This window comes from Homo sapiens, chromosome 3 (assembly GCF_000001405.40).
Source record: "Homo sapiens chromosome 3, GRCh38.p14 Primary Assembly".
In the NCBI taxonomy this organism is placed as follows: Eukaryota; Metazoa; Chordata; class Mammalia; order Primates; family Hominidae; genus Homo; species Homo sapiens.
The window spans coordinates 155,568,143-155,591,849 of NC_000003.12; the positions used below are offsets into that span (position 1 = coordinate 155,568,143).

Below are 23,707 nucleotides of genomic sequence, written 5' to 3' on the forward strand. Positions count from 1 at the left end.
CTGATTTCTTTTCCTAAAAACTTTTGCTGGAATTTAACTTAACAGGCTGAATCAAGAAATGAGAAATAAAGAATATTGGTTATTTTACCTTCTATGCCAAGAACATTTTTCACCTTATTTTCTTCTGAAACTTCAAACTTCTTTATGATGTCAAGACAATAGTCCGTTGTCACATTATTCATCTAAGAAAAACAGAATACTAGTAGAGTACCTGCAATTTCATAAACTATGTTCCTCCACAGTAGAAAGACATTTACTGATTTTGCATTCTTCACACCGTACAAAGTACCTAAATGAGCATTGTTTGGGGTTATTAGTGTCACAGCTATTTTATCTTTGGAGAATGACCATGATTCAATCTTCCTATGCATTTTTTAGATTGAATCAGCAAAAATAGCCCTTCAACTATTAGACAAATGTTCTCTGTGAAGAAATGAAATAAAATCAGTTATCAATGTGAATCCATTGCCAAAAATACACTCACTATAAGCTAGCAGCTATCTGCAAAAATTAACGTTTCCTACACAAGCACTAAAGTTTGCTGATCATAAATATATGTAGAAAAAGAATGATTCCCTACCAAAACAGAATGTTTCTAAGTAAATGTACCTCTGTGTGTGTGTGTGTGTGTGTGTGTGTGTTTGTATCCATACAACCATCCACTGAGCAGAGCAGTCTGCCATGGTAATACAGGAACACAAAGGTTAGCAAGAGGAAATAAAAATGAAAAGCTAGGTGAGGTAGCTAGCATAACAACTCTGGAGCTAGACTGCTTGCGTTCAAATCACCTAGTTTATATTATTAATAGTGTGACATTGAAGAGGTTACTTACCTTTTCTGTGGCTACCTGATAGTGGAGTGATAAGGATTAAATGAATTGATATTTGCAAAAACATTGTGTGGCACCAAAAAGGCAGTATATGCTATTTATTAATATTAATATTATTGAGTCAGTCTCAAATTTGCTACATGAACAATATATGCTGAGTGTCACTGGGAAAGGTAAACTCTTCAGAAATAATTTCTTTAATTAAACAGCAACATTAAGAATGTGATATTTTGATCAAAAATCCATTTAGTCCCACAATCTAACATTGACATTTTAAAATATTAATGAATAATTATAGAGGAAGCTAATTTTGTGAGCTAGTATTTCATATTTTAATTATATTTTCTCAAATATTCCATTTTTGTTTAGGTTTAATACTTACATTTTAATAAAATCTAGTTTTTCTAAACAGTCTATTTAAACTGGGGGTGAAGCACTGCTGTATGGCTGTTTTTTGTCAGTTCAAAAGAACACACAATGATTTCTTTCTTTTCAAACTAGCATGGTGGCTGATGCATCCTTTGAGTAAATTTTATAATTCTTATTCTATTTAGGGGCCCATATTACCAGAAACCACCTGAAAGTATTATAAATAAATGAAACTGCAATACCTCCAAGGAACTCTACTGACCCAGGCAGGCTTTGAGCAGCTCATTAATTTGTCTGCTGTGAGCTAGAGAGATTTGGCACATGCAGTCTAAAGATAAATAATTTTTCACAAAATAAAATGAACCAAATTGATAACAATTTTACATGCCGTGTGAAGACTAAGTTCACTTTGCAATTATTTTGTTTATAAGCCCATTTGTTCAGAAATGTAGAGGTCTTAAACTGGACTCAGGTAGACTACCAGAAGCCCATGAATCTTAACAAAAGCAATGAAGAAACAACAAAACAACTAATTCACTGAGATGATGGAGCTAACTGCAGGTGAGCAGAGAATATGTTACTAATTCAGGATACAGTGAAGACTTTTATAACCAAAAACATCATATTTGAAAATATTCATTGAATTAGCAAAAATATTAGTAAGCATTCTGTGAAGTTCACAAATTTCTGGCCACCGTAGAAGAATTAATGGGAAAAAATAATCTACTTTCTACCAAAATTGAGGTATTAAGGATTGACTCTTTGCAAAATACAGTAAAACCCCATAATAATGAGAATTGAAATGTAAGAGTCAATCGACTCCCAACCTTCCCCATCCCCTGATCTCATTTAATTAATCTCCCAACAGCAAAATCCTGCATTTTACGTAATTGAGTTTTTTAAGACTTCATTTAAGTTATAAGTTTATTGTATGACTGAAGGTTCAACATAGGTTAATGCTCTTTACTGTCCTTCTTCACCCTGTTTTGCTTCCTATTTGACAGAGCTGATAGAGAGAAATAGGAATTTCTCCCTACTCTAACCCTGTTTCCTATGGAGTTCACTTGACAGTTTTGTTTGTCATTGAACATCTGAGTCACTTGCTGTCTCCAATACTGAATATTGTTCTTTCTACAGGCAACTGGTGCTAAAAGAAGAACTTAAGATAAAATGTGATTATTTTAATAATGACTCTACATTTATATAATGCTGTCAATGTGCAGTAAAGAGCTTTTACACACACAATCTTAAATAATTCTTACAATAGTCTTGTAAATTTAGTGTTTTTATCCCTGCCTTGTAGATAGAAAAATTAATGTTGAGAGAGGTTAATTAAACATCACCATCAAAGTCACAAAACTGTAAGAGGCAGAACCAAAGATCAAATTTGGACCTTCTTGACTTCAAGTCCAAAGCACTTTCTTGTATAACTATTCTCTGGGCATTTTTCTTTATTTCTATTGAAAAATTAAAATGCTTACTTTTAAAACTGATAGGTGTTTTTAATTTCAATATAACTGAAACTCCTAAATCATTTCTTTACTTCAAATCAATTATTACAATTTAACTTATTTTATTATTCAAGATTAGACTCCATTCTCTTTTCCTTTATTTACTGTAGTTCTTTAGTCTCATCCAGAAGAGAAAAGACTCACTGGTCCTCACATTAAAGGACAACTAATTTCAGATAAACAAGTTGTAGAAACTAGTCATAGATCTATAAAATACCCATATTCTGACACTACCTATTTATCCTCAGACTTCCTGTAAGTTTTTTAGCAAAACTTTCCCTGTGAATGAAAATTTAAAACAAAGTCAGAAGGGGTAAACAATTATATTTCTTATGGCTATGATTCTCAACAACACCAAGTGTAAAATCAATGTATCATTTGCAAAAATTCTAATATTGCTAAACCTTACTAGCTTATTTTTATCAAAGGGTTATATTTGTAACTAAATAAGTCAAAACTAAGATCTTTATAACTAAAACCAGAAGTCCCCCGCCTATACCCAGAATCACTCCCCAAAGTCAATAATGCCAATATTTCTAGATATTTCTTTTGAAATCGGTCTTTATATATATATTTGGAGATGGAGTCTTGCCCTGTCACCCAGGCTGGGGAGCAGGGACCTCACTGCAACCTCTGCTTACCGCGTTCAAGCAATTCTCCTGCCTCAGCCTCCCATGTAGCTGGGATTACTGGCACACGCCACCATGCCCTGCTCATTTTGTATTTTAGTAGAAACAGGGTTTCACCATGTTGGCCAGGTTGGTCTCGAACTCCTGACCTCAGGTGATCTGCCCACCTCGGCCTCCCAAAGTACTGGGATTACAGGTGTGAGCCACCGCACCCGGCCATCTTTCTATTCCTAATTATTGTATTTATAATGCTATATTGTACACTTTAAAAATTATTGACTTCTTACTGTGTTAGATATTAAGTTAGATCTTTAACATAATAATAAGATCTTCTGGATCTGCAGATCTGCCTCTCTGCCTGTCCTCTCAGCATAATTATATCATCCAGTTTTTATGAAATATATGGTGTTTAAATTATTCCAAGTATGCGAATGTTGAACAATGCTGAATCCGTTGTACACTGTGATTGTGTTTCCTTTCTCACAGAACATTTTTTATGATTACTTGCTGACATTCCTACTCATTTGGTTAACTTTTAATGTACCTATCACAAATTCTTCCCAATGACTCTAATGGTCTCTCAAGTTCCACATAATCAAAGGCAACAGATAATCCATGAATTGTGCTTTTTTTCTCCCTACAAAAGTTCTCCTTCTTTCCTTCTGGTTGGGTTCTGGAACTGTATTCAGCTTTTGCTCTGACTTTACTCTGTCACTCTTGTGAAAGAGCTCTCAGGAAGTAAATTATTTATTTCCCTCATGTGTTTTTGTGTGTGCTCTGGTGTATTTGTCTTTTATTCCACACACACATTTGTTTGACAGTTTTTGGCAGAAAATTCTAGGTTGAATCATTGCTCTCACGATTTTTGGCTTCCAGAACTGCTGTTGAGAAATCTGATGCCATTCTGATTCCAGTCCTTTTCACAGGACCAGTTGTTGTTTGCTAATTAGTTTAGTTTAGTTTTCTCTTTTTACAAGCACTCAGGGTTCCACTTTATCCTTGGCACTGTGAAATTTCACTCTGATTTGCCTCTTTGTGGATCTTTATACTGAGGTTGGCCCTCGTTTGGGTTTGTCAGTCTAGAGAATCTTACCTTTCCATGCTAATAAATTTTTTGTATTATTTATTTGATAAGTTTCTCCCTTCTATTTTCTCTTATTTTTTTCTATTTCTTTTTTGTTTGTTCTTCTCATGCTTTTAATTTCCAAGAGATTTTTTTTTTCTCTGAATCTTCTTTTCTCGTGGCATCCTTTTATTTCTTAAGAGACAGGTCCTCATTCTGTCACCCAGACTGGAGTGCAGTGGCACAGTCATGGCGCACTGCAGCCTCCAAATCCTGGAATCAAGTGATCCTCCTTCCTCAGCATCCCATGTAGTGGGGACTACAGCCACACACCACTGCACCTGGCTGATTTTTTTATTTTTATTTTTATTCTTATTTTTATTTTGTAGAGACAGGGTGTAGCTATGTTGCCCAGGCTGGTCTCGAACTCCTGGCCTCAAGCAATCTTCCCACCTTGGCCTCCCAATGTGCTGGAATTTTAAGCAAGAGCCACTGTGCCCAATCTGTCATAGCATCTTGCTCTTGCTTTATGGCAACAATATTTGAATCATTCTGATAACATTAACAATAATTTTTAAAGTTTCCTCCTCCTTGCATTACCTCTGTTTCCTCCAAGTTTATTGTCTCTATTTATTTGCTTTAGTAGTCTCTGTTCTTTATAGCAGAGGATTTCCTCAAACATTGGTAAGCCTTGGTTATTTAAAACCAATAACCTGGGAACTGAGTATTGGAAGAGGGCTATGGTTTTCACATCTCAATGCATAGATGGTCACTAACCCTTGCATTCATTCTCTACTTCTGTGAAACAAACCACCCCATAACCTAGAAACTTAAAACAACGACTGTTTATTTGATAACAATTGTGTAGGGTGGCAAGTCAGACTGGGTTCAGTTGGATGGTTATTCTGCTGTTCTCATTTAGAGTTCTTCATGTGACTACAGGCATCTGGTTACTTGCCAGATGGTACAAGATGGCCTCACCCACATGTCTGTGGTTGGTGCTGGCTGTTGGCTGGGCCTCTTTCTCTATGTAGTCTCTCATCCCCAAGGAAACTCACCTGGTTTCCTCACATGATAGTCCCACAGTTCCAACAGGGTGAGGATGAAATCTTCAAGACTCCCTGAGGCCTAGGCTCCAGAACCTGTACATCAGTCCTACCACAATTTATTAATCAAAGCAAGTCATTAAACTGGCACAGATTGAAGAAGCAGGAAAATAGAATTCAATTCTTGGTGGAAGGAGTGGCAAAGGTGCATTGCAAAGACACATATGTACAGGAATATGGCAGTTATTATAGCCATCTTCATAATCCCCATGTTTTCCATATAGTACCCACACTCAGCCGTGTGTGGCATCACTTAGTCAAATCCTCTTACCTCTTTTTTTTTAGATAGAGTCTCACTCTGTTGCCCAGGCTGGAGTGCAGTGGCACAATCTCAGCCAAATGCAACCTCCACCTCCAGGGTTCAAGCGATTCTCCTGCCTCAGCCTCCCGAGTAGCTGGGACTACAAGCATGCATCACCACGCCCAGATAATTTTTTGCATTTTTAGTGGAGACGGGGTTTCACCATATTGGCCAGGCTGGTCTCAAACTCCTGACCTCAAGTGATCTGCCTGCCTCGGCCTCCCAAAGTACTGGGATTACAGGAGTAAGCCACCATACCCAGCCCCCCTTACCTCTTACATACAGTTTTATGCCAGGGTAGAGAAGGGACAGTTGCCCTGCTACAAGGGTTGGAGGAGAAAATCTGAAGCCCTAACCATATCTTAAACAGACTTTCAACCAATGCTTGTTTTCAACCCCTCTTTTCCTCTTTTCAGGAATATCATGTAACTAACATCAATTTTTGAGCTTATCAGGGGCTTCCCCTGGGCAAATGGAGTTGCTTCGAGGCTTCTCACTCTATGAGATTGAATTTCAGTGCTCTGGGGTCTCCTTTAAATCAGACAAGTTTTAAAATTTTGTTGCTCCTCTCCTGTTCTCTTTGTATCTGTGGTTTTACAGAGGGGGATTGTCTTTACTGTATTTTGGGGTAATTTCAAGAGGGAGTGAAGAAACACCTCTAAATGAATGGTCAGTTCATATTCAACTGAATAAGACAACCACGGTAACTATTAACCTCCTCAAACTAGCTACCTCTAATTCATCCTAAAACGAAACCACACATTTCACAGCATTTGAATAGACGATTTCACAGAAAATGTTATCTGGGAAATATAGCCAATGCAGCAAAAATATTGCAAGATATAATTACTCTGAGTGATCTCTCAACTGCTTTAATTGTGAATAATTAAGAAAAATCAGCCAGGCATGGTGGCTCATGCCTGTATTCCCAGCACTTTGGGAGGCCAAGGTGGGCGGATCACTTGAGGTCAGGAGTTCGAGGCCAGCCTTGCCAACGTGGTGAAACCCCATCTCTACTAAAAACACAAAAATCAGCCAGGTATGGTGGCGGGCACCTACAATCCCAGCTTCTTGGGAGACTGAGGCAGGAGAATCGCTTGAACCCAGCAGTCAGAGGTTGCAGTGAGCCGAGACAGCACCACTGCACTCCAGCCTGTGTGACAGAGCAAGACCCCATCTAAAAAAAAAATAAATAAATAAAAAGAAAAATGATACAGAAATTCAGGAAAACACCTCAAAGGAATGCTTTTATATGAGGAAGGTGCAAAAAAGATAAAGATACATTATCACCAGAATGGGATAGTTACAAGCAAAAGAGACTATAATTATTTCTCATGAGAGAGAAGATTAGAATGATTAGAATGACCATAACTCTTACCAAACCATTCTGGATTCAATGAAGGGTAAGGAAGGGAGAGGGCACATATGATTCCTATAATTGGATCAGAATGATCAAAGAAACATTTTACCAGAAAGAATAAAGGGGCTAAAGGTGCAATTTTCAGAGCTACTACACGGGTAATGTATAGATCTATATCAGATTACAATAAGGAGATGGCCCTGTAGCAGGGAAACAGGAAATCTCTGAAAATCCTCTTGGAATTAACTATCCACATGCATATTTCAGATGAAACATTTATATAAACAGAAACCTACTTTTGACTTACAATAAAGGTAGCCTTTGCTCTTAGATAACAGCTAGCAGAAAATTTTAAATTTTTTAAGTTATTTCATTTTAGAGACAGAGTCTTGCTCTGTGGCCCAGGCACAATCATAGCTCACTGCAGCCTGGAACTCCCAGGCTCAAGCAGTCCTCCCACCTCCACCCCGCAAGTAGCTGGGACTAAGGGCAAGCACCACCACACCCAACTAATTTTTGTTTAAGAGAAGGGGTCTCACTATATTGTTCAGACTGATCTTGAACTCCAGGGCTCAAGTGATCCTCCTGCCTGCCCCCGTAGCTGGGATTACAGGGGCAAACCACTGGGCCTGGCTAGGAGGATTTTCCAACTATATAAAGGCGCTTCAATGTTCCTGCCTTCTCTTCCTTCTTCCTCAATCCATAAGAAACAAAAAAATATAAAGAACATAGGGGCTTGCTAAGAAAGGTTGCCAAGGGGATGGGAAAATGAAATCAAATTGTCACTCCAGAACCAAAACACTAAAAAGGATGGAACAAAAAAAACACTCAGCTCCAGTGCCAAGAAATGGATAGGAACTCTGGAGGAGATGTAGGTGGTTGTTTGGCAAATATGAGGTTGGGGTGGGTGGGGAATGAAACAAAGCAAAACAAAACAAAACAAAACAAAAACTCTCAATCAACTCTAGTAAATACTTCGGAACCACAGATTAGTGGATATCTGTGATCCTTTATCTGTAGATGAAAGGAAGAGAAGAAAGAGAAATCTCAGCCAGGTAATTTCTGGCTATACTGGCACTTCCTCATGGTTATAAAAGATAGTGAGAATTCCCTTGGCACAGCCGTGTTTTAAGAATGAAAGTCCTAATCAAACAGCAATTGGACCTGTCAAAGGCATAAATTCAATCTTCTGAGAGCTTCAGTAAAATAAAAATCTGACCCACAGGCCAATATTTGATTTCATAAAACCCTTGACAGCATATGTGGCCAGCAGTGATATTTCATTTCACAACTGAGTAAACCTATAAAAGTTGAATATCCTGGTGTCTGCACCAATCTTATGTTATCAGAAGCTAATGAATTACTGTGACACACATCATCAAATTGCCTCAAATTTGTGCCATTGTGAAAATCCAGTTTTGAAACTCAAAACCCCACGAAACTCTTGACTAACGACTCTTTCTACACAGTTAGATTGTGTCCAATCTAATAAAATAAATCTTAACACTATTTTAAAGAATGTTGAAATGCACAACTTTACAACAATTTTTAAATACAGAGCTATTTTCTTAGGATGAATTATTAAAGTAAAATGGTTTGGCCAAAGTTTTATCAATTATATTAAATGTTATAGATTGTAAAACTACTCCAGTATCATTCTATAATTTCACCAGAAATAGAAGAGATGGACACTACGTTTGGTGGCATATTTTTTAATCTTTACTAATACGATGGGAAAGAAATTGTCTCCTAGCCTAGATAGCATGGTGAGACCCTGTCTCTAAAACAGATTATTAAAAATTAGCTGGGTGTGATGATACACACCTGTAGTCCCAACTACTCAGGAGGCTGAGGCAGGAAGATTGCTTGAGCTCAGGAGTTGGAGTTTATACGATCCATGATCGCACCCACTGCACTCCAGCCTGGGTGACAGAGACCCTGTCTCTAAAAAATAAATAACTTGGTTTTATTTCAGATTTTTGAATTACTAATAAAGGGTGAACATTTTCATAGGTTTATTGACTTTGTATGATTTTGTAAAGGTTTCAAGTGTTTTACTCATTTTTCCATTGTTTTTTTTTTCCTCAATGGTCTAGGAAAGTACTTGCCACATTAAGGAAATTCACTATTTCTCTCTTTTGTATGTTACAAATATTTTCCTACTCTGCCCTTTAATTTTGTGGTGCTTAATAAAGTGGACCACATATAAACAAAGTTTCAGTACATTAAAATTTTCCTTTGTGATTTTTACCTCTTGATGTATGATCACTTTTTTTATAATTTTATAGATTTCTTTTGAGTCATGCTCATATGTAAGTAGCTTCAAGCTAATTTAGAAAATTAAACTATATACAGTTAATCATCTGCCAGGAACAAATGTCACAGAATTCTGGCTTCTGTTTTCCCTAACTAAAATTTACTGGCAGAATGTCAACAAAACTAAAATGAGAGAAGAAACACATGCCCCTTAGCAAGTGACATCCAGTATTGCTATTCAAATGAACTGGGGTAATTCCACTAGCCTGAATGAATTTGAAGTCAGTAGTTTATACCTTTTAACTTTAATTCCTCACATTGCCACACTTCTGAATATCTTGGGCAAAGGACTTTCCTGTTCATCATTGCAATGTTCAATTTGACACTGTGAGATAGGAAAGGCAGGTATCATCTCCCTTTGCATGGATCAGGAAACCAAGGCTCAGAAACAATCATGATTGATTCTCCAACCACTAAAGCTTGCAGTGTGTGGAATGCAGGTGTTTTGGACTCCTGGTCTAATGTTCTTTCCAGTACACTATGAGAGTTCTGCAAGTAAGGATGGAGAAGTAGTTATATAACAGACTCCACAGAGGAGTAAAGATGTAGAAAGGATGTATCCTCTAAGGGAAAATATAGACATTTCTATTACCCAATTCCCTTTTTCTACCTGTCTTACGGCTAACATTGTTAATAAAGAATCTCTGCCTTTGCCAAACTATCAAACTACTTAAAATAACTAATTTTGACAAAGCATTTTGCTAATAACACTATCTGTTTAATTCTTAAGAAAGCAACAACAAAATTCATAAAAGTGAATCTGTTATTTCTAAAACATATGTGATTATGATACTAAGGTAAAGTAAAATATTAAGTAGGTATTAGAAAGTTATCTAATCACATGGTTGGTTGCTGGCTACCAGCCCCTATCCTGAAACTATCCAGGGGCCCAACAATAGTTACCTCATTAGCATGAACTCAGATATGATGAAAAGGGGTTCATTATAAATAATCAAAGATACTTCTCAGGAAATTCTAAGAGTTTAGGAGCTCTGTGCCAGGAACTGGAACAAAGACCAAATGTATGTTTTATTATATCACACTATGACAGACTTGGAGTGGGAGGGTATAAGAGAAGTAATTTGGAAGAAAATTCTAACCATGTACAGATTTGATGCAGTTTAGTACACGGTATCCTAAAATATTGCACCCTAGCATTTGTGGAAAACAGCAGAAAAGGAAAGGTATCTCCGGCCTTCCCCCCAGCCCTTCCACCCATAAAACCTAGGAAGAATTTTCTGAGCTTCCCCTGAAGCAGACCATACGACCCTCATTAAAGTGACCATCAGCACCTTCCCAATACCCAGAGGAAAGGAGCAAAAGACACAGAGGTGCCAAGAAAAGTGTGAACAAACACGCCTTACTAAATTCCCCATTTACTGCCATTAGATCATAACCTTGTCCTCTAAACATATTTCTCCATGACTGTCCACTCTTCATCAAACTAGCATAAGAAATACACAGGTTTGCCTAACTCTCTGGGTCTTCAGTGCCTTATAAAGTCTCCTCTGTGTTATTAAAAACTTATTAGATAAATTTGTATGTTTTTCTCTTGTTAATCGGTCTTTTGTTATAAGTGCCTCTGCCATGCCCTAGCGATGGGTGTGGAAAAGACACTTCCCCTCACCTATGGAATTTTACAGTCAAGTATATGTGCGGATACTTGCCCACTAGGAATCTCACATTGCTCCTTGGAAATGGCTAGATCTGTGCAGCTAATAAACCAGGCAATGCACTAGGAAGTTACATCCACATCTCATTTAATTCTCACTCTACTCTTGCAAGGGCAATATTACTATCAAAACCATTTTATAAGTCACAAAGTCAAGGATGAAAAGTTAATGTGATCAAGTTGCAAGGTAAGCAAGGTTGTGTATCCAGTCCTGCTCACTCCTATTCCACCACACAGTCTAGTAATTTTTAAAACTTCCATGCCAAATGAAGTGTTAATCTGCTTGAAAAGAGGTGATTAGCATTACTGATGAAGACGATAAGAGAAACACATTATCAGAAAACATGTTTAATGCATTTAACTTTGGGAGTTTGAAAGAGACATCAAGAAAGGCATTAAAACTGGTTCCTACTTGGGTATTGCCTGCTACCTCTCAAATAAAAGCTAATAGTGTGGTGCTAGTGGTTGGTTCTTTAGTGGCATTTAAATAGAATAGATATCCACCTGGAATTACTGAGGGAAAACCAGTCTGTCTGCCTGTCAGTCTCTGTCTCTGTCTGTCTGTCTGTGTCTGTCTCTGTCTGTCTGTCTCTCTTTCTCTCTCTCTCTCTCTCACACACACACAGACACATACACACACATGCAGAGGCAATAAACAACAGAAAAACAGGACAGAATTCATACAGATTTTTCTGTATTTTAAAGAGCATTTCAAAGTTCAAAAAATACAATTCAAAAACAAACATGGAAAAACATTCATCCCTGCTATCAAAAAATGTTAATCAAACCAACATTAACTTATCATTCTATAGCTACCATATTAGCACTAAAAGTGATCCATTTAATAACTAATCATTTGTTCACTGTTTTGTTAATTATAAACTGAAACAAATCTTTTATATAGCATTATGGAGATATGTTTCAAAAGCCATGAAAATATTTTATCCAATGGCTCAATAATAAGTAAATAATTCAGAAAAAACATATACATGGATTTTGTTCACCAAATACTTTGTACTTTTTTCATTCTTGCTAAAGCAAAACATTGAAGACTCTGATCACCAAATTAATCTCACATTTAAAAAATTCAAATATGGCATTTAAATGCTATAAAATGTTAATATAAATAAGGGTAGATTTTGAATCAGTGAGACTTTTTGCCATTTATGAATCTATAAGCAGCATTTACTAGCTCAAATTATGAATGTCAAATAGTTTTTAGACTACACCAAGAGTAACATAATTTTCCAGGTTATGTAGGAGAAAATTAAAGAAAGTTAAAAGAATTGACTCTCAAATGAAAATCACTTCACAAATTCAATTTAATTCAAATTAGCACTAAAACTAAGTGAGCATGATTTCATGTATATTAACAATGTATTACTAATTAATATTTTTAGTATCTTTACAAAGGTACTTCTTCTAAAGAAGTAACATTTCCAGAAAAAAAATACGGCACGATAATTGTAATAAATTTTATTCTACCTCAAAAAGGAAAAATCCAGCAAACGTTAAAAAGCATGTTGTTTTACTTCTTCACATTCTCTTTCCTTTTATCATAGACTCTCAAAATCATAAAGTATCAAAAAAAGGTCTTTATTTTGAGCTTTCTGAGGGTAGGTTTTGTCCACTACAAAAACTTAGCACAATACCTAGGAAATATAGTATCTATTCATACAAGGAAATGAATTAATCTGAAATGTTACTAATCCAAGCACCCACCCATATTTCAATCTCATTAATAGCGTCTCAAATCCTTGTTAACACCTTCAAGGAAGAAAACACAATTGTCAAAGTCATCCAGCACATCTTTGGTCAGCTATACTTCTTAAGAGCTAGTGGAAATTTATCTCTCTGATATTCAGATATTAATCCAATGTTTAATTCACTGGGGTTCTGTGGTAGAATTTTATCCTGGTTCACATAAAGTCCTTGCAATATCCAGATCCAGACTGAAAGAAGGGATCAAATTAGGTGACCCAACTTTTCCACTCAGATATATATTCAACAGACTTGACAACGTATGTCCACACAAAAACCTGTACATGAATGTTCACAGCAGCGTTATTCGTAACAGCCCCCAAAAAGCAAATGACCCAAATTTCCATCAACTGATGAATATATAAACAAAATGTGGTATAGTCATACAACGATATATTATTTGGCAATAAGAAGAAATGAAATACTGATAATGCTACAACATGAATGAATCTTGAAAACATTACGCCAAATGAAAGAAGCCAGTCACAAAGGTCACATATATGATTCCCTTTATATGAAATGTCCAGAACAGATAACAGACAAATCAATAGAGACAGAAATATTAGTTGCCACAGCATGCTTGGAAGAGAGAAATGGAGAATAATTGCTAATAGGTTTGGGGTTTCTTCTTGGGGTGCCGAAAATGTTCTGAAATTAGATAGTGGTTATAGTTGCACAACTCTTTTTTCCTTTTTTTTTTTTTTGAGACGGAGTTTCACTTTTGTCACACAGGCTGCAGTGCAATGACGCTATCTCGGCTCACCACAACCTCCGCCTCTTGGGTTCGTTCAAGCATTCTCCCGTCTCAGCCTCCCGAATAGCTGGGATTATAGGCATGTGCCACCACACCTGGCTAATTTTGTATTTTTAGTAGAGACCGGGTTTCTCCATGTTGGTCAGGCTGGTCAGAACTCCCGACCACAGGTGATCTGCCCGCCTCAGTCTCCCAAAGTGCTGGGATTACAGGTGTAAGCCACCGTGCCCAGCCCTTTTTTTTTTTCTTTTTCTTTTCTTTCTTTTTTTTTTTTTTTTTTTTTTTTGAGGTGGAGTCTCGCTCTGCCGCCCAGGCTGGAGTGCAGGGGCTCAATCTCAGCTCACTACAACCTCCACCTCCTGGGTTCAAGCAATTCTCCCTGCCTCAGACTCCCAAGTAGCTGAGATTACAGGGGTTCGCCACCACAGCCAGCTAATTTTTGTATTTTTAGTAGAGACTGGGTTTCGCCATGTTGGCTAGGCTTGTCTCAAACTCCTGACCTCAGGTGATCCACCCGCCTCAGCCTCCCAAAGTGCTGGGATTACAGGCATGAGACACCGTGCCTGGCCAATAGTTGCACAACTCTGTTGATACACTAAAAAACACTTAAATGTATACTTTAAAAATGGTGAATTTTATGGTATGTGAATAATATCTCAATAAAGCCTTTATTAAAAAATTGGAAAGTGTTCAAGCACAAGCTGGCTGATTATTTGTGTGAGTACTGTAGAAAGAATTATTTCTACTGATTATTGTACTATATAGTCCAAATATTTGATGATTTTTTACAATTTCAACAGAGCTAAATGCCGCTGACTTAAAATGAACAAAGGAGTTAAGCAGCTCTTTATATTAAGACGATTGGTCCATTAAGAGAATTAAAAGTAAACCTCATCAACTGCACAAAACCAAAGCCTCCTCTCAAGAAGTCTAATATAAAAGGTTAAAAAATTTGAATAAAACATTCATTTATTCCTCTACTTTAGTGAGAAACAGACTTTGAGGAGATATTTAAAAAGCAGACTGAGAAGTTAGCTTTGCTGACCATAATTCAGCCTATATAATATTAAGATTAAAACACCTTATTTTAAACATACTTAGAGATTCTCTTTGCTAATCAGGACCTAATTTACTTAGCCTTTTCACATGATCAAATGGCAATTTACTATCAGAATTACCAATGACCTACCACAATAGTAGTTAAGAATTATGCCATAGTTAAATATCTAGCTATTTTATTAGTATAAATATAAATTTATATTTAAAATAAATAAATTTGACTAAATTTATACTAATATGAATTTATACTAATATATAGTATAAATTTAAACTAATATTAATACATCATAGTATTAGTATAAAGAAAGTATTACCATTGTATTAAAATATTAACATTCATTTCTTTGTGGGAAAATAGGCATATCTGTACTCAATACATTTAAGATTAAGAATTATATAACCCAGTGTTCAAGTTATCACTTCCTGTCTTAAAAGCTGCTAGAAACTGTTTTAAATGACTCATAGATAAGATTTTTGTGAACTAGTGATATTTACCACCTTTGCAAAATTCAAAGTATACCTATATTTAACCCCAAAAGAAAGACATATCTTTCATGAGTACTTTTAAGTAAACTTTCATTTTAACAGTCTAATGATACCTTTTGCTCCACCTTCAAAAACTGAGCCAGTTCTTCCACAGTTAGGTGATCTTTCTTGTCACTGTAGCTCAAAAGTAACAAATAAAGGTCTCGTCTCAAAGACATCATTTTGTAAAAAACACAGAACTCTTCAAATGTCAAAGTTCCCTGATTCTCATCTGTGTCGGCTTCCTGAAAAGGGCATAGAGAAAATAAAGTAATATGAAAGTTAGAAATAGGAAATTCAGTACTGGGAAATAATATTTACTATAAAAGAGCTAGTACACAAATCCCAAGAGGTGAGCACACATTCTCTTCGAGCACACATTCTCTTCAAGCACACATGGAACATTATAAAGCAACCACATATTTGGCCAGAAAGTTTCAACAAATTATAAGGAATCAACCTCACACAAACCAATTGTTCTGACCACTGTAAATTTATAAATCAACAAAGAAACCTTAAAAAAAAAAAAACCTGTAGAAACAATACAATTCTAGATAGGAAATAAAACATATGGAAGTGAAAAATACACTACATATTAAAACTTATAAAATAACATTAGAAACTTGAAGTCTTAAATTACTAGAGAGCAAAGATTTTAAAAAGAAGTTAATAATTCAACTCAAAAAATGTGAAACAAAATTAAGCGAGGAAAATAAATTATAAACAAAAGCAAAAAGTAATAAAATAGAAAACAAACAGCTGTAACATACACGTGAGAAAGAAAACCAAAGCCCGATTTCTAAAGAACCAATAAAAATGAGAAATCTTGAAAAAGACTAATCAAGAACAAAAGAAAGAAGATATATTTAACACTTGAGAAAAATAACAGTCTCTCATTGGTTTCTGAACTGTAATCCAATCAAATGTAATTTTTACCTATGAGAGAATCTCTCTTAATTCTCCAAAGATAGAGTTGATGCTCTTAAAGCCATGGGCATCCTTGGTAACTCCCTGCTTTCCCTCCGTAGAAAAGTCTAAACAATCCATCTGGATTGATTTCTTGTTAAAATTGTTTCTAGTAATTATTGAGCATGAAGCTTCCATCATATGCCTTACTTACAGGTTGGCTGAATTATTCATAAAACCATAAAACTATTGGGGATAAATAATAAGCAACTGACCCACTTATGTGCTCTTCTTCATTCTAAGTGAACACAATTCTAAGTAAACAAAAACAGACAGGGAATGAACGGCATTTTGAAATGCATAGAATTTGTGAAGTACACTCAACTGTTATATGGTATTAAACAAAGCTTTGAAAGTCAAAGTGGTCATTAAAATCTTTTTAAAATTTTGCTAACTTTGGGTCAATTATGAACAAATGCTTCCAAATTTTACTTTCAATAATTACCCAAGAAATCATGATTTGTATAGGTACAGACTTTGTCCCCCCCCTTTAGGATTGGCCTCTTACATTGAATCAGCAGCTACCTCTTCAATGCTGTGATCAGCTCCTGTGCAAATGAACAGACAGGAGGTGGGGCTCACAGCAGGGCAAAAGTGAGATGACACGGAATACCAGAAACATGGCAAACCTTCCCATATGTTTAAAGATAATTCATTTGCCCTCCAAAGTCCCTCACTCCATCTCTCAGGTTCCCTATACAGCAAATCTCATTCCTTCCTCCTCTTCCCATTCTCTCATGCTGTTCTCCAGTGCAATGGGACTCAGTTTCCCACAATGCAAACCATCTCCAACCAAGAACAGGGCCACCCTTAAAAGGGTCACAGAACAGAGCCAGCCTCTGTCTTCCATTTATTGTTGCAACACATACCCCATGTTGTCTCTGCTCTTACCACCTCTAAGAACAAGTACAAACATTAAACATCATATTGCCCTCCTATGCTTATTTTTACATGTACAAAGTATCACCTAGAAAATCATTGCAAAACATGGATTATGCACGCAACTTATCTTCAAATAATAGCCTGTTACAAATTAATACTCTAGTAATTTCTAATAGCCTAACATTGTCTTTGCCCTGACTTAAACTTAAGAGAGCTCACTTCGGTACTCAGGTAAGGATTAAATGCAGTCCTAGCTGGATGCCACAGAATAAGTCTGGGCCCAAGAATTTTTCTCAATGACTCATCAACAGGGAAAGAGCCTTTCATCTAACCAACAAGGAGTTGAATGAAATTCTGGAGAGCTCCCTAAATGGCAGGAGTGAATTGCCCTCCTAATCCTCATGGATACTAAATCCTGAACTCCTCAGAAACAAAATACAGAGCTCTTGAGGTTTTAGACAAGGGCTATTTTTTGTCATGTTACTTAGTCTTTATTCTGATCCTCACAAGAGCCCTGCGAAGTAGGCAAATGAGGTATTACTGTCCTCTCAAAGGGACTGGAGCAAGTTTCCTCCATTATTTGTCAGGAAAACAGCAACGATAACAAAAAAGCGTTTTAGGAAGTGAAATTTTGGACGAATGTTAAATTTATAAAGTCTTTTTACTTGAAACAAAATCATTTCTTCATCAAAGAAAAATAAAACAGTACAGAGCACATATATTAGCTTCCAACAAAACAAAATAGCTTTTTAATATACCTAAGTATGTTAATAACCTCTGTGTATTTTATATAAGGCCAGTGAAATTGTGAAAACTTACCTGAAACATTTGTCTGACTTTTCTTCGGGGCAGATTAACATTCAGTTTATGCATCAGCTGATGTATCTCTTCAATATTCAGCAAGCCGTCACCATTCTTATCAGCTTCCTCAAAGGTCTGCTTCACCCATGTGCAGAAAGGTCAAAGAAAACACCTGTGCTCTCATCAAAATTAAAAACTGCTCTCTCACAGAATACTCGCAAAGACATTTATCAGTAACACAGAACTTGAGAAGAAATTATTTTGAGGAGCCCCTGCAATCCATAGGCTCTGATGAGCTACTAATAATGATGACAATAACAATGACAACAACAAACCAGGAATGGAAGGGAAACACATAAAGGGGGTAAGGGGGTTCCCGGCTGGGTGCAGTGGCTCATGCCTATAATCTCAACACTTTGTGAGGCTGAGGCAGGTGGATCACCTGAGGTCAGGAGTTTGAGACCAGCCTGGCCAACATGGTGAAACCCTGTCTCTACTAAAAATACAAAAATTAGCTAGGCATGGTGGCAGGCGCCTGTAATCCCAGCAACTTGTGAGGCTGAGGCAGGAGAACTGCTTGAACCCGGGAGGTGGAGGTTGCAGTGAGCCAAGATTGCTCTCCAGCCTGGGTGACAAGAATGAAACTCTGTCTCAAAAGAAAAAAAAGGGGCGGGGGGTGGTTCCCTCCATTGCGAAATGAGAGTTAAACCAAATTATTTTGAGCATCTTTAATTCAGACATTCTTATTCAATCTTATCCAAATTAAATATCAAATCTATTATTGCAAAACACTATATCACTATCCTAAATGGAAGGAGTGAATTACCCTCCTAATCCTCATGGATACTAAAACCTCATGGATACTAAAAGCTACATTACTGGTTCTAATTTCACTCTAGCAAGAAAATGACACCTTAATTCACACCTCCAATAGCAAACTCCATAAACATAAATATTTCTATATGACTTTAAACGTTATCCCTTTTTGCTTTTCATTTTCTGACCAGTTTTTCTCAGTTATGCTGCCATGTTCATAACACAAATCTTGTGTCCCTATTAGTTCTCATTCACAAGGTTAGAGTTCTTCGTTTATGAGGCATACAGATGGCATGTAGCAGGAATGGCCCAGTATTACATCTCTCTGACACTTTCTGTTTAAGAATCTCTTTATGATGAAACCCCAAATATCATAAATATAGGGCTTATCTTCTCCTATGCCCTTTTACCTACTATCTTTTTACCTTCACAATACCCCATGGTACATGATCTTTTCAATTCTCTTTTCTCTGTCCCACTCAGACATTTAGCAAATTAGACCATCTAGTTCAATCTCATCATTGTTCAGATAAGGACATAAAATGAGAGGAGAGAGAGAAATCTGATAAAAATTAGTATGAGAACCAGGTCTCAACCCAGGTCTTTTGTACCTGATTTAGCACACTCTTCTACACATAAGGTCTGTCTCTACACCACGCTTCTCTTCCTATTACTGGCTTTGATGGTTCTCACTTAATTGGCCCAAATTTCTAAATCACGGGCAGGTAATGTGAAGTACAAACATAATGTGCTAGGAGGTGCCCTCAAAGCTCAGGTATGAGATTAAGTGACTGAGAATTAGAAGCTGAGTTTAGATACAAAAGGTTTACATCATGTGAACTGAAATTTTAAAAGATCCTCAGTGGGAGGAGCCTTGGGTTGCTTTACATAGTGAGAATGCAGATGAAATGGTAACACAGGAATTGAAAATTCCCAGTTAACTTTTAGCAAAGGATTTTTTCAAATGGATGATTCATAGTTGTTGAGGGGTAGGTTACAAAAGGCAAGTACTGCGTGCATATTTAGAAAACCAATTAAACTTCAATATTGAAGGGTAATGGAGAGGAAAAGAATAAGGTGATAGATAGAAAGAAACCAGAGAATCAAAGTAAGCTAAAGGTATAGTTTTAAAAACCAAGAAATGGGAGAATGAATGTATATCAGAGGAGAGGGTACAGCATATTTCCATTTCTATGCGATTCAAATTATGACTGTAGAAGATTATACCTCAGAAAGTAAAAACAACTAGAAAGGTAAGGTATTATGTCTTCTAAAATTAAGTAGAGGATATTTTCAGATCGCCTTACTTCATATTTTGTAAATACCTTATTTCATATTTTTTCCCTTTAAAACTTTTAAAATAACTAGCCCAGCTCTTTCTAGTTCAATTTTTCCTTATAGACTTGTCAGGACCTCATTTTATATGACCCCTGGAAGTTAAGGGAGGTCCAGATCTGGGGGGAAAGTAACCGAAGAACCAAAAGGGTGAAACATTTGGCCCAATCACTAATAAGTGCCTGAGTCTCATTTTCTTCTGTTTTCAAGGCACGCAGCACCCACTTCGGGCTTTCAACTATGGACACTACTCTATGCCCCACAAAGTACATGGCTGGAGTTCAAAGAAGTGACAAAAGGAGTCTGACGGCAGTAATATTTTTATCCTTTTACTCTATAATTCTTTATCAAATATAATTCTTTATCGAAGCCTCTCAAAGTCTTCTCCAGAGAAGAGGCAGGGACAGCCAAACCCTAAGCATGTGTGTATTCTGCAGATACAAACATTTAGGATAAGCCTGTGTCTGTCTGCAAAGCCTTTAGCACCAACACGGAAATCGGCCTTGATTATTGGTTTAGGGAACTGGTAAAGTAAAAACAGAGGCAGAATCAAACCAAGAAATGTACAGTAGTCCTAATTCTACTGCTTACTTGGCCTTGTGACAGTGGGTTACTCATATCACCTCCTGGAGCCTCCATTTCTTCACCTACAATATCAAGGAGCACAACTTTTAACCTTGAAATCCCTTCCAACTCTAAGATTCCATAAATGAAAAAACCATTCTTTCCAGTAACGGTCCACATAGTATACAACTCCAGGTAAAAATGTCCTGATATCTTAAAGATGTTCTTCATAATTAAGATATGAGTGTCCAATAAAGCCCTGAATTAATAATTTATAGCCACACCATAATAATTTTAAAAAGAGAAACAGTCATTCCTCAGAGAAAATCTGGGTGAGACTGAATGTGAAGTAATGATCTAGGATTTTCTATCAAGAGACTGTAGGAGCATGCAAAGCATTGAATGATCCTATCTAGCACAGGGGAGGGCAAACTTTTCTGTAAAGGGCCTGATAGTGAATATTTTAAGTTTTGCAGGACATTTGCTCTCAGCTGCAACTATTCCACTCTGTCACTGTTATGAGAAAGCAGCCATACAGATATAAATGAATGAACACGGTTGTGTTCCAATAAACCTTTATTGGAATTTCAGAAATTCCAATAAAACCTTTATTAAAATTTCAGAACCCTGAAATTCTAATTTCAAGTAATTTTCACAGGTCACAAAATGTTTTTCTTTTGATTTTTTTTAACCATTTAAAACCCATTCTTAGCTCAGGAGTCCACGCAAAAATCCTCCTGGATTGGGAGTGGGCCAGATTTGCCCAGCAGTTTGACGGGGGAAGAATAAGGTCTGGATTTATAACATACATAACAGGTGGCCTAAAGCCTTCTGGAAGTAATAATTTCCCTCATGGGGTCAAGAGATAAGGTGGGGAAAACATGAAGGAGAATGGTCTGATAGAGAAAAATGCTGAGCCTAAGTGCCAGAACCATCATCTTTGCATACAGATCTGCTGAGTATTCAGACTTTCATTTATCTGAATAGGAAAGCTAAAGATTTGCCACTCTTTACCTCTTTTTAGCAATGACAGCAGTACCTATTACTTGTAAACTGCTTATTAAGTGCTAGGCAGTGTTCTAAGGACTATATATAATCAACTGATCTTAACACACCTCTATATGGCAGACACTGTCATTATCATCATCACCATGTTGCAGATAAAAGACTTGAAGGCAAAAGAACATAAGTAATTCATCCAAATTTGCATAGCACAGGCAGAGTGGGGGCTGGACCGCAGGCAGTGCAGCACCAGGGTCTGATCCCTAATGACACTGGATTTCTTCTAGTAAGTATGAGTACTGCATCATGGCCATCACTCAGCATGGCCATACTGCAGAAATAAGTTACGCTCTAGACTGGATGGATTTTCTCATGCAGCCATTTAATTTCATTATTCTCATTTTTCATTCACAGTTGAAATTTTCAGTCCTAAGTGAAATCTAATAATGAACATCCCAAATCTGTTCTCTTCATTAATGTAGTTACATGTTTATCAAATTAAGGATGTGATCCCATTATTAAGATACTATCTAGGCCAGGTGCGGTGGCTCACGCCTGTAATCCCAGCACTTTGGGAGGCCGAGGTGGGAGGATCACGAGGTCAGGAGATAGAGACCATCCTAGCTAACACGGTGAAACCCCGTCTCTACTAAAAATACAAAAAATTAGCCGGGCGTGGTGGCGGGCGCCTGTAGTCCCAGCTACTCGGGAGGCTGAGGCAGGAGAATGGCGTAAACAGATGAGGTGGAGCTTGCAGTGAGCCGAGATCCTGCCACTGCACTCCAGCCTGGGCGACAGAGCCAGACTCCATCTCAAAAAAAAAAAAAATACAAAAAATTAGCCTGGCGTGGTGGCGGGCACCTGTAGTCCCAGCTACTCAGGAGCCTGAGGCAGGAGAATGGCGTGAACCCAGGAGGCGGAGCTTGCAGTGAGCCAAGATCACACCACTGCACTCCAGCCTGGGTGACAGAGCGAGACTCCGCCTCAAACAAACAAACAAACAAACAAAATTATCTAAAACCCTATTAAATTCTGACAAATATGTATGAAAATGATTCCCTGACTCAAAATAACCTTTCTCATTTTTCACTTCAGCTTTCTCTTTACTATTCATCAATTTATTATTTCTCTTTTATTCCTTCACTGACACAAAAATCAACTGCTTCTATATTTCTTATAAAATTGTTTCTCTGTGTAGTGCCACAGTACACCTGCTTTCTGGACAGTATATTTTCAGAATACGGATCCCATAGACTATGAAAACTTTCAAGTGCCAGTAAACGTGGACAATCAGGTTCGAAAACTTTTAACCAACAAAGCAAAAAGATGATTTATGCCCATCTCTAACTCATCTCTTTCAAGGATTATGAGAGAGACTTCTATAAGTGACTTGCAGCTATGGAATGCTGTGAACTTGTCCTAGTTAACTGGATGAGGCTAGAAGCTTCTGGATTTGGTTGCTTCCCCATGGCCACTGCTCTTCCTTCTTTGCTACACAACCTTGATTTTGTTCAGGTACCCAAAAGCCATGTACTTTAATGATGAGTGGGAACTGGATGGGGGCGGGGGTGTAAATCTTGGTTTGATGCAACTGTCCTCAAAGTATAGTCCTGGAGGTCCCCATAAACATGAGGTTCCCCCCTTTTCCAACTACATGTCTGTGTGAGGCCAGATTTTCTTCGTGTACTTCAATCAAAACAACGTATCGCAACAGACTGAATGCAGAAGCAGATAAGAGAACCCATGTGTTCTATTGCCAGACATTAAAGAGATTTGTAAAACAGTGAAGCAATACTGTTTTTCTAACGTGTTTTGCTTTGAAAAAATACTTGTTATAAAAATATTAACATGCAACAGAGTTTATTATTATTATAAATAAACACATTTTTATGTCTCACATTTAATCTCTAATATGACAAGTATCAATAAATAGGTCCCACATAAACAAAAGCTCTTTAGAATCTTCAGGGTTTTTTTGTTAGTTTTTTGTTTTTGAGACAGGGTCTTGGTAGCTCACCGCTGCCTCCAACTCCTGGGCTTAGGCAATCTTCCCACCTCAGCCACCTGAGTAGCCGGCACTACAGGC

At 37.1% G+C, this 23,707-nt stretch overlaps 1 protein-coding gene across 20 annotated transcripts in view; it reads right to left on the reverse strand.

Moving 5' to 3' along the window:
* The window catches only part of PLCH1 (phospholipase C eta 1), a 294,138-nt gene that overhangs the window by 117,209 nt on the left and 153,222 nt on the right, over positions 1-23,707 (reverse strand). For all 20 annotated transcript variants that reach the window (XM_017005927.2, XM_047447747.1, XM_047447746.1 and 17 more), the window contains 3 exons: positions 17,923-18,052; positions 15,330-15,500; positions 89-182 (listed from right to left, as the gene is read on the reverse strand). In XM_017005927.2, the coding sequence (XP_016861416.1) occupies positions 89-182; positions 15,330-15,500; positions 17,923-18,052 (395 nt within the window). The remainder of the gene's footprint in view (positions 1-88; positions 183-15,329; positions 15,501-17,922; positions 18,053-23,707) is intronic.